Genomic DNA, 11,923 nt, shown 5'->3' with positions numbered 1-11,923 from the left:
TTCTACTAAAGTCAAGTGTGGCAGTGAACGAATTAAGAGGATGATAGCTAGGGCAAACAACTCTGTGGCATTCCCCTTAGTCCCCTATGCTCCTGCTTATTTTCCTTAATGATTAATCCAGGGCTGCTCTGGAGCTTTTGCATGAGCAGCCATGAGTAGATTTAAGTAACTGGGTAAAGGTCAGACATATCCTACCCCCAATCAGATAAACTACCTTTGAATCTATTTGACATACTGGATTTCTTTATTTAAATAATAATTTATTTGGTTTAAAAGAGTTTTAAAATCCTGCTTTTAAATAGGAGACCAATGCAATGTCATACTTAAGTGGCAGGTGAAATAAGCCGAGGACCTGAACTAGGCTACAGATCATGGCTCTACATCCCAATTTAAAATGTCTCTTTCAGGCCAGGTGCGGTGGCTCACGCCTGTCATCTCAGCACTTTGGGAGGCCAAGGTGGGTAGATCACTTGGGGCCAGGAGTTTGAGACCAGCTTGGCCAACATGGTGAAACCCCATCTCTACTAAAAAATGCAAAAATTAGCCAGGCATGGTGACACACGCCTGTAATCCCAGCTACTTAGGGGGCTGAGGTATGAGAATTGCTTGAACCTGGGAAGCGGAGGTTGCAGTGAGCTCTCGTGCCACTACACTCCAGCCTGGGTGACAGCACAAGACTCTGCCTCAAAAAAATAAAAATACATCTCTTTCATTAAATTTTACAGAGTAGTATATATTTATTAATGCAACATACATATAAATGACTATGAGGTGGTCACTACCACAGGTAATGCAACTGAGGCTCATGCGCTGTAGGAGTTCCATGTGAGCTTAAAGTTATGAGTATTGACAGTGGTCAATGCATTTAAAACTCAGTAGAGTATCATTGACAATCAAGAAAACTATGTTTATACAGAATATAACTTTGATAGGATTTTAAGAATCCAATCTTTAAGTTTAACAATAGGCTACGTTTGTTTGTTTTGTTTAGAGATGGGTTCTTGCTGCATTGCATGATAATAGCTCACTGCAGCCTCGAACTGGGCTCAAGCAATCCTCCCACCTCAGCTTCCAAGTAGCTAGGACTACAGATGTGCGCCACCATGCCCAGCTAGTTTTTCATTTTATTTTTCTGTAGAGATCGGGTCTTGCTATGTTGCCCAGGCTGTCCTTGAAATCCTAGTCTCAAGTAATCCTCCTGCTTGGCCTCCCAAAGTGTTGGGATTAAAGGTGTGAGGCACCTTGCCCGGCCAGTATTTTGAATATTTTAATTTGGCATTGATCTTCAATGATAATTGAATAGGTGAAATGACTTGAAAAATTCAAATATATATTGCAAAAACCTACAGAGTAAGAAATTATTCTATCTGTTATGTAGTAACTTTTAACTCCTACTATTTATTTATTTATTTAGAGATGGAGTCTCGCTCTGTCACCCAGGCTGGAGTGCTGTGGCGCAGTCTCGGCTCACTGCAACCTCTGCCTCCCGGGTTCAAGCAATTCTCCACCTCAGCCTCCTGAGCAGCTGGGATTACAGGTGCGCACCACCATGCCCAGCTAATTTTTGTGTTTTTAGTAGAGATGGGGTTTTGCCCTCTTGGCCAGGCTGGTCTTGAACTCCTGACCTCGTGATCCACCTGCCTCAGCCTCCCAAAGTGCTGGGATTACAGGCGTGAGCCACCGCGCCTGGCTAACTCCTACTCTTAATCCTTAATTGGCTAAGCAACTGCAAGACCAAACTATGTAATTAGACATACTGAAGAAAATACCAATACAATTATGTAAAGATTATATATAGTGGTTAAGAGCAGGGACTCAGTTTCCTCATATCATAAGGATAATAATAGTACCCACTACAGTAGAACTATTAGGTACTATTATTTGGTACTATTCAGATAATAGTACCTATCAGGGGGTTGTTATAAGGATTAAATGAGTTAATTTATGTAAAGGATTTGCTTGACATACAGTAAAGGCTATGTATTGTTATGATCACAGTCTGTCACTGTACTTATCAAATTTATCCTGCATAAATTAGGTGCGATTTTTACCAAAAAGAGAGTCTTGCATATCTATGACTGCAAGGGTCACTGGAGTAGAGCAGAGGTTCTTAAAGGGTGCAGTACCATCCTCTACAGAACATTCTAGAAATTTGTGATGGTACTTTTTGTTTGTCATTGTGATAGGGGAGAAAGGGACATGCTGCTGCTGATATACAACAGGCAGAAACAAATGATGCCAGATGTCCTGTATCTTGCACGGTTGTTCCACATGACAGAACTATCTGGCTGGCAATTCTACTAGACTTTGCTAGTCTGTTTATGCTTTCCTACTCTCCAAAGTAAGTAACCATTTCACATACCTTCCCTGTTCTTAAATATCCAATATCTTACTGTGCCTTAACTAAAAACCCTGCTTCTTATCTCACTAAGAAAATAAAAGCAATTGGCCGGGCACGATGGCTCACGCCTGTAATCCCAGCACTTTGGGAGGCAGAGGCAGGCAGATCACGAGGTCAGGAGATCGAGACCATCCTGGCTAACACAGTGAAACCCCGTCTCTACTAAAAATACAAAAAATTAGCCGGGCGTGGTGGCGGGCGCCTGTAGTCCCAGCTACTCGGGAGGCTGAGGCAGGAGAATGGCGTGAACCTGGGAGGCGGAGCTTGCAGTGAGCCAAGATTGCGCCACTGCACTCCAGCCTGGGCAACACAGCCAGACTCCGTCTCAAAAAAAAAAAGAAAAGAAAAGCAATTGATAAAGAAATTTCTCTCCCACTATCAAACCTTCCATTCCATGTGTTTCTGTGCTCCCATATTCTGCCTGCCTTCCCACCACAGTGGATGAACTGCCCCTTTTTATCCAAGACCAACTCCTCTACTGCTCTCCTGTATCCCATTTCTTAAGCCTACCTTAAGGATTTTACTCCTTCTGCTCTGTCTTGAATGGCTGTTTCCCTGTCTACTGGATCATTCCTATCAATATCCAACAGCTGTTTTCTCTCTTATGTTAAAAAGCAAAACAAAAAACTCTCCCTTGACATCACATCTCCCTCATTTCTCTGCTTTACTCTTTATCCAAAGAGTTGTCTATTCTTGATGTTTCTATTTCCTCTCTTTCCATTCTATGCTAAACCCACTCTACAACAGGCTTTCATTCCCATTGTTAGGCTAAAGCCAGTCTTATGAGGGTCATAAAAGCCTCGACATTACCAAATATGATAGTCAATAATCAACCTTCACTTTACTTAGCAACACTGGACACAATTGATCTCACCCTCCTTGAAATACATTGTGAAATATTATACTCTCCTAATTTCTCTTCTATTTCACTGATTACTTCTCAGTTACCTTTACTGAATCTTTAACTTCTTGGGTGCTAAAAGTAATATGCTAAAAGTGAAATTTTGGCCAGCACAGCCTGATGAAATCTAGCATTTAAAACTACAGTTGTGTTTACTGTATATAATTTATTTAGCCACTTGATACATTCATAAATATTCATTCAGCATCTACTATATACCAGGCACTAGAAATATAGAAATAAGCGAAATGACCATACCCTCTCCACACAGAGCTTACATTTTCAGTGGGGGAGACAATCAATAAACAAGTAGATAGACATATACTTAAGCCAGCAAAAATAAGTATTATGAAGAAAAACTCACTCAACAATTTTTCTTTGTCTTGGATCTATTCCAAAAAAATAGTTTTTAACTGTTCAGGCCACCAAAGCTATCTTGATGTGTTTGAAAATGATGTTAGGCATTTTTTAAAAAGCTGACATTATCTAAAGGAGATTATTTCCATTCTCAAACTACAGATTAAATCCTATATTGTGGAACATAAGGAATACGAGGAGCAGAAAAGTGAGAAAGTAATTAGTTCAAAATAAGAAGAGGACCAGAAAAATATTAAATCATAAAAGTCAAGAGAAGAGAAAATATCAAAAGGGGGAATGGACAGTTAAATCTACAAAAGCTGAAGAAAAAGAGGATACTAAATTTGTTTATTATACAAAGAGTTTTTTGTGACTTTCAAGAAAACAGTAAATTTAATATTCAAGAGACAAATACAGTAAGTTACAAAGTGGGAAGGGTAGTAAGGAGGTAGCAACAATGGAGAAATAGAATGAATAAAAATTTTTTTTGAGATGGGGTCTCCATGTTGCCCATACTTGTCTCAAACTCCTGGGCTCAAATAATCCTCCTGCCTCAGCCTCCTGGATAGCTGGGATTGCAGGCATGTGCCACTGCACCCAGCTTAGAGTGGGTATGAATTTAAGATGTCTGGAAATGAAAGGAAGAGGGAAATAAAGAAGCCTGAAGATACAGATTAAATCAGGAAGCAGAGAAGCAAAACAGGCAAGCATATTAAAGGCTTGAAAGTACATGTTCAAGAATTTCTCTCTAAAAAAGAAGAGGGATATATCTTTCTTTTAAAGAGAAAAGGGACAAAAGAAGGAAAGATGAATATAAATATTTTAGGGTGAAAAATTATAAGGATGAGGACAGTTGGCCTTATTCATGCTTTTAAATAATGGCTAATTCAGTAAATCAACTTTCCAAGGATCAGTGATAGCCAGCAATAACTTATTTTGACATACAGAGCCCAAATGAACAGTAAATTATGACGAAGTTATGAGAACATTCACCTCAGAACCTACTTTCTCTGGATTCCTCTCACTGCATATTTCTTACCATTTTTCTTTTTTTCAGTTTTTTAATTTTTTTATTTTTAAGCACTTTCATGTCTATCTTCCTATTTTTCGTTCTACTTCCTGTTCTGTCTCCCTCTGCCTCTCTCTTTCCCCGTATTGTCTCACACCATGCAATAGAGAAAATGTCTTTTGGTATTGATTTTACTTAATGTATAAAATGTAAAATCTTCCTTCTTCAAATATTAGTAGTTTTTCATTTAAATATATGAATTTTCTTCCAAGTAATAAAATGATATTCTTTGGAAACAAATTATTACAGTTTACAGTGTATAAAATACATACCTGATTTAAACCAGCACCTGTTTGCATAGAAGACTTTTTTAATAGTCTTACTTCTTTGTTTATGTATCTTAGCATCCCACTAAGCGTGTTAAAGTCATTATTCTCAGAACTATCAGCTTCTAGGTTATATGTGAGAGGTTTAAATGAGTCTGGCTGGGTGTAAGTCAGATTCTTATGGCTTTCTTCTAATGTTGAAGGCTGTTCTAATTGCATTTTCTTTAAGTCCTGTAGTAATTCTTCAGAAAGATCTTCATCACCATGAATTTTGAAAGTAAGATCACTGGCACTAATAGAGCGACGTAATTTTGTACACTTGGAAAAAGATGTGTGAAAACATTTAGCAAATTTTGGATCTTGAACATCAGGCATAATTTCTGTTGGAGATGTAAATGGGGCTGGCAGAAACTTGATGTCTTCTGCCTTTTCATGTCCAGAAATTTTGGCCTGTAATCTGGTTAATTCTGATTCCTGCAGATAAATTGGTACATAGTAGGTGCTCAATACATTTTTGTTAAATGAATGAACTCCTTAGAAAATCATAGACTTTTAGAAAGTCAACCTTTGTCCCACTATAGGAATTCTGTTTATAATTCTTGAGAGTTTTCCAAGCTCTGTTTAAAACCTTTACTTAAGATAGGTTCACTTTGGGAAAATTACACATATTCCTTTGAAATATGCTTATTCTAAGAAATTCCATTAAAACTAGATTCTCCTTATATATATATTTTTGGTGTTAATGACAATATCAATTTCTATTCAAGATTGAAATCTTACACCTAAAAATTTCTCTGCAAAGATGTAGAGGTACGCTATCTTTTGTTAATCTAACACATATAGACACAAAAAGACCCCTTTCAGAATTTCCAGTAGGGAATAAATAGATAAGCTATTCTGCTTTTTGTGTTCTCATTACAAGAAAGCTTTAGTGCATTAGAAATTTTTCAAAAACTTAAAGTGATAAATTTTTAATAAATCAATCCTTGTTAAATAAACTTTTCATTTCAATTTTTTTCATGTCTTTCATTTGGGTCCTCTGACTGAACTTTGGGATCCTAGGAATGAGACTACATACACTAAAAAACCAAAAAGCCTAAAAAAAGAGATGATATTTTAATTTCAAAAGCTTAATAATGTAAGTATAGTAGTCTCCTCTTCAAATACATTTGCCTTTTCTTAAAGGTATCCATAAGATATATATTTCTAAATCCTGTCAGTTTTACTCTGATAGTTTCTATTCTTAAAGTAGCTTTCAAAAATACTGTGTTCATAACTAAAACTGTCATAACCACAGAATGCATTACAAAATAAAAGTTTAACACGCATATTTTGGTATTTTCCTTTTTTTTTTTTTTTACTACTTCATCTAAAATTGATTTATATGATTTTTTAAAAATACTTTAAGTTCTAGGGTACATGTACTCAACGTGCAGGTTTGTTACATATGTATACATGTGCCATGTTGGTGTGCTGCACCCATTAACTCGTCATTTACATTAGGGATTTCTCTTAATGCTATCCCTCCCCCCTCCCCCCACCCCACAACAGGCCCCAGTGTGTGATGTTCCCCACCCTGTGTCCAAGTGTTCTCATTGTTCGATTTCCACCTATGAGTGAGAACATGCGGTGTTTGGTTTTTTGTCCTTGCAATAGTTTGCTCAGGATGATGGTTTCCAGCTTTATCCATGTCCCTACAAAGGACATGAACTCATCCTTTTTTATGGCTGCATAGTATTCCATGGTGTATATGTGCCACATTTTCTGAATCTAGTCTATCACTGATGGACATTTGGGTTGGTTCCAAGTCTTTCCTATTGTGAATAGTGCCGCAATAAACATACATGTGCATGTGTCTTTATAGCAGCATGATTTATAGTACTTTGGGTATATACCCAGTAATGGGATGGCTGGGTCAAATGGTATTTCTAGTTCTAGATCCTTGAGGAATCGCCACACTGTCTTCCACAATGGTTGAACTAGTTTACAGTCCCACCAACAGTGTAAAAGTGTTCCTAGTTCTCCACATCCTCTCCAGCACCTGTTGTTTCCTGACTTTTTAATGATCACCATTCTAACTGGTGTGAGATGGTATCTCATTGTGGTTTTGATTTGCATTTCTCTGATGACCAGTGATGATGAACATTTTTTCATGTGTCTGTTGGCTGCATAAATGTCTTCTTTTGAGAAGTGTCTGTTCATATCCTTCTCCCACTTTTTGATGGGGTTGTTTTTTTCTTGTAAATTTGTTTAAGTTCTTTGTAGATTCTGGATATTAGCCCTTTGTCAGATGAGTAGATTGCAAAAATTTTCTCCCATTCTGTAGGTTGCCTGTTCACTCTGATGGTAGTTTCTTTTGCTGTGCAGAAGCTCTTTAATTAGATCCCATTTGTCTATTTTGGTTTTTGTTGCCATTTCTTTTGGTGTTTCAGTCATGAAGTCCTTGCCCATGCCTATGCCCATGCCTAGGCAATGGTATTGCCTAGGTTTTCTTCTAGGGTTTTTATAGTTTTAGGTCTAACATTTAAGTCTTTAATCCATCTTGAATTAATTTTTGTATAAGGTGTAAGGAAGGGATCCAGTTTCACCTTTCTACATATGGCTAGCCAGTTTTTCCAGCACCATTTATTAAATAGGGAATCCTTTCCCCATTTCTTGTTTTTGTCAGGTTTGTCAAAGATCAGATGGTTGTAGATGTGTGGTGTTATTTCTGAGGGATCTGTTGTGTTCCATTGGTCTATATCTCTGTTTTGGTACCAGTACCATGCTGTTTTGGTTACTGTAGCCCTGTAGTCAGGAAGCGTGATGCCTCCAGCTTTTTTCTTTTGGCTTAGGATTGTCTTGGCTGTGTGGGCTCTTTTTTGGTTCCATATGAACTTTAAGGTAGTTGTTTTCCAGTTTTGTGAAGAAAGTAATTGGCAGCTTGATGGAGATGGCATTGAATCTATAAATTACCTTGGGCAGTATGGCCATTTTCATTATATTGATTCTTCCTATCCATGAGCATGGAATGTTCTCCCATTTGTTTGTGTCCTCTTTTATTTCATTGAGCAGTGGTTTGTAGTTCTCCTTGGAGATCCTTCACATCCCTTGTAAGTTGGATTCCTAGGTATTTTATTCTCTTTGAAGCAATTGTGAATGGGAGTTCACTCATAATTTGGCTCTCTGTTGGTCGGTTATTGGTGTATAAGAATGCTTGTTATTTTTGCACATTGATTTTGTATCCTGAGACTTTGCTGAAGTTATCAGCTTAAGGAGATTTGGGGCTGAGATGATAGGGTTTTCTAAATATACAATCATGTCATCTGCAAACAGGGACAGTTTGACTTCCTCTTTTCCTAATTGAATACCCTTTCTTTCTTTCTCCTGCCTGATTGCCCTGGCCAGAACTTCCAACACTATGTTGAATAGGAGTGGTGAGAGAGGGCACCCCTGTCTTGTGCCAGTTTTCAAAGGGAATGCTTCCAGTTTTTGCCCATTCAGTATGATATTGGCTGTGGGTTTGTAATAAATAGCTCTTATTATTTTGAGATATGTCCCATCAATACCTAGTTTGAGAGTTTTTAGCATGAAGGGCTGTTGAATTTTGTTGAAAGCCTTTTCTGCATCTATTGAGATAATCATGTGGTTTTTGTCTTTGGTTTGGTTCATGTGATGGATTACATTTATTGATTTGCGTATGTTGAACCAGCCATGCATCCCAGGGATGAAGCCAACTTAATTGTGGTGGATAAGCTTTTTGATGTGCTGCTGGATTCGGTTTGCCAGTATTTTATTGAGGATTTTTGCATCGATGTTCATCAGGGATATTGGTCTAAAATTCTCTTTTTTTGTTGCGTCTCTGCCAGGCCTTGGTATCAGGATGATGCTGGCCTCAGAAAATGAGTTAGGGAGGATTCTCTCTTTTTCTATTGATTAGAATAGTTTCAGAAGGAATGGTACCAGCTCCTCTTTGTACCTCTGGTAGAATTCAGCTATGAATCTGTCTGGTCCTGGACTTTTTTTGGTTGGTAGGCTATTAATTACTGCCTCAATTTCAGAACCTGTTGTTGGTCTACTCAGGGATTCAACTTCTTCCTGGTTTAGTCTTGGGAGGGTGTATGTGTCGAGGACTTTATCCATTTCTTCTAGGTTTTCTAGTTTATTTGTGTAGAGGTGTTTATAGTATTCTCTGATGGTAGTTTGTATTTCTATGGGATCAGTGGTGATATCCTCTTTATCATTTTTTATTGCCTCTATTTGATTCTTCTCTCTTTTCTTCTTTATTAGTCTTGCTAGCGGTCTATCAATTTTGTTGATCTTTTCTAAAAACCAGCTCCTGGATTCATTGATTTTTTGAAGGGTTTTTTGTGTCTCTATCTCCTTCAGTTCTGCTCTGATCTTACTTATTTCTTGCCTTCTGCTAGCTTTTGAATGTGTTTGCTCTTGCTTCTCTAGCTCTTTTAATTGTGATGTCAGGATGTCAATTTTAGATCTTTCCTGCTTTCTCTTGTGGGCATTTAGTGCTATAAATTTCCCTCTCCACACTGCTTTAAATGTGTCCCAGAGATTCTGGTATGTTGTGTCTTTGTTCTCATTGGTTTCAAAGAACATCTTCATTTCTGCCTTCATTTCGTTATGTACCCAGTAGTCATTCAGAAGGAGGTTGTTCAGTTTTCATGAGTTGTGTGGTTCTGAGTGAGTTTCTTAATCCTGAGTTCTAATTTGATTTCACTGTTGTCTCAGAGACAGTTTGTGGTGATTTCTATTCTTTTACATTTGCTGAAGAATGCTTTATTTCCAACTATGTGGTCAATTTTGGCAGAAGTGTGATTTGGTGCTGAGAAGAATGTATATTCTGTTGATTTGCAGTGGAGAGTTCTGTCGATGTCTATTAGGTCTGCTTGGTGCAGAGCTGAGTTCAAGTCCTGGATATCCTTGTTGATTTTCTGTCTCGTTGATCTGTCTAATGTTGACAGTGGGGTGTTAAAGTCTCCCATTATTATTGTGTGGGAGTCTAAGTCTCTTTGTAGGTCTCTAAGGACTTGACTTATGAATCTGGGTGCTCCTGTATTGGGTGCATATATATTTAGGACAGTTAGCTCTTCTTGTTGAATTGATCCCTTTACCATTATGTAATGGCCTTCTTGGTCTCTTTTGATCTTTGTTGGTTTAAAGCCTGTTGGTTTAAAGTGGCTAGAGTGCCAATTTTTTGTTGTAAATCCTACATTCACATTCTTAAAATCACAATTAACAAAACAGTTGTAGAGTTGGCACAGAATAGGACTGTACACAGCTGCAGTCTTTTTCTTTTTCCTATTCTGCATTATCTAGCCATAATTGATATGTGGTATCTCATATAAGTAGGATTTTATTTAAGTTACAGTTTAACACATAACTTTTACAATTAAATATAGTACACTGAATACATTAAATTAATTCAACTTTTTCTTAAGACTCAAAGAAGGTCACTGTTGTGAACGTAATTGTAGTGAGCCATAATATAATGATGCCTTCATGGCTCTCAAAAAATTGTCTTTGCCCTTGTTGACCTCAAGTGATCTGCCCACCTCGGCCTCCTGAAGTGCTGGGAATACAGGAGTGAGCCACCACGCCCGGCCTACTTTATGATTTTAAAAGAACTTTGCTGATTTTGAAAAATGTTTCTACCTTTTTTTAGGTACATCAAGTATAAAACCCTCTAAACATTATGATTAGATGAGTTTATATTTGAACATTTATAAATTATATCTTCTACGGTAATAAGATGTACATCATCTTAATAATTTCCTAAATTCAACATCTTCTAAATCAAATGGTTTTTATTCAAACAGGCCAATATTTGGTCATATAGTCCTCTATAAACTACTAAGACAGGTAAATAAGTCAGACATTTATGTTTTCATAGATATGCTTTATTACTTTTATATGTTTACTTACTTTAGTAAGTAATGCTTCATTTGCAGCTTCAATTACTTCATTCCTATCTTGGACTTGTTGATGCAAATTGCTTACAGTATCCTGAGCTTCTTCTAATTCCAATTTTGCCTTCTCTAACTGTTCGTTTAGTTGCTGAACAGAAGACTTTTGAGAGTCAGCAGAAATCTTCCACTTTGCATGGTTCTCTTGATGTGAAATCATCTATATAGCCCCAGAATTGGAAAAGAAAAAAAATAAAAAAATGGAAGGAAACTGGATTCGACAACAGTCTAATGCTTTCTACTTTTATTTACTTTTTCTTTAAAAAAAGTAAATTCTGTTTATAGTTACAAACATCTGATTTCTCAATGAATACTAGAGGAAAAAGGGAACAAAGGAATCCATAATCTTCAATTTACTTAAGAACTTAATTAACCAAATGCAATGGACTCTATTTGGGTACTGATTTGAACAAATAAACTATAAAGACATTTTTGAGACAATTGGGGAAATGTGAACAATGATTGGGTATTTGATGATATTAAGGAGTCACTGTCAATTTTTAGGTGTGATCATGGTATTGTGGTTCTGTTCCAAAAAATAGCCCTTATCTTTTAGAGCTATGTTACAGTTTGGCTCCGTATCCCCATCCAGGCTTCATCTTGAATTGTAATTCCTGTATGTCAAAGGAGCAACCTGGTGGGAGGTGATTGGGTCATGGGGATGGTTTCACCCATGCTGTTCTCATGATAGTGAGTTCTCATGAGATCTGATCGTTTAAAAGTGTGACACTTCCCCTCTTGCTCTCTTGTCTCCCACCACCATGTAAGACATGACTTGCTTCCCCTTCTGCCATAATCATAAGAATTGTAATTTTCCTGAGGCCTCCCAAGCCATGTGGAACTGTGAGTCAATTAAACCTCTTTTCTTTATAAATTACCCTGCAACTGTCACCATTCTCCAGACCCCAGAATGGTAGATCCAGCGACAGCCCTTGCACCTTCACCTGGAAAAGCCTCAGGCACTCACAC

The 11,923-nt window shown here is 37.4% G+C and overlaps 1 protein-coding gene across 38 annotated transcripts in view; it reads right to left on the bottom strand.

The window, feature by feature from the left end:
• The window catches only part of CCDC18 (coiled-coil domain containing 18), a 98,818-nt gene that overhangs the window by 2,916 nt on the left and 83,979 nt on the right, over window positions 1–11,923 (bottom strand). For 24 of the 38 annotated variants that reach the window (XM_017001164.3, XM_017001162.3, XM_017001154.3 and 21 more), the window contains 2 exons: window positions 10,914–11,114; window positions 3,449–5,468 (listed from right to left, as the gene is read on the bottom strand). In XM_017001164.3, the coding sequence (XP_016856653.1) occupies window positions 4,860–5,468; window positions 10,914–11,114 (810 nt within the window). In that variant the 3' untranslated portion in view covers window positions 3,449–4,859. Of the gene's footprint in view, window positions 1–3,448; window positions 11,115–11,923 lie in introns of those variants that run through there. The other 14 variants (NM_206886.4, XM_047419516.1, XM_047419507.1 and 11 more) reach the window with 3 other exon arrangements.

Source organism: Homo sapiens, chromosome 1 (genome assembly GCF_000001405.40).
Source record: "Homo sapiens chromosome 1, GRCh38.p14 Primary Assembly".
Lineage (NCBI taxonomy): Eukaryota > Metazoa > Chordata > Mammalia > Primates > Hominidae > Homo > Homo sapiens.
Note: the sequence above shows the minus strand (reverse complement) of the source record. Positions and strands in the feature narration are given on the sequence as shown.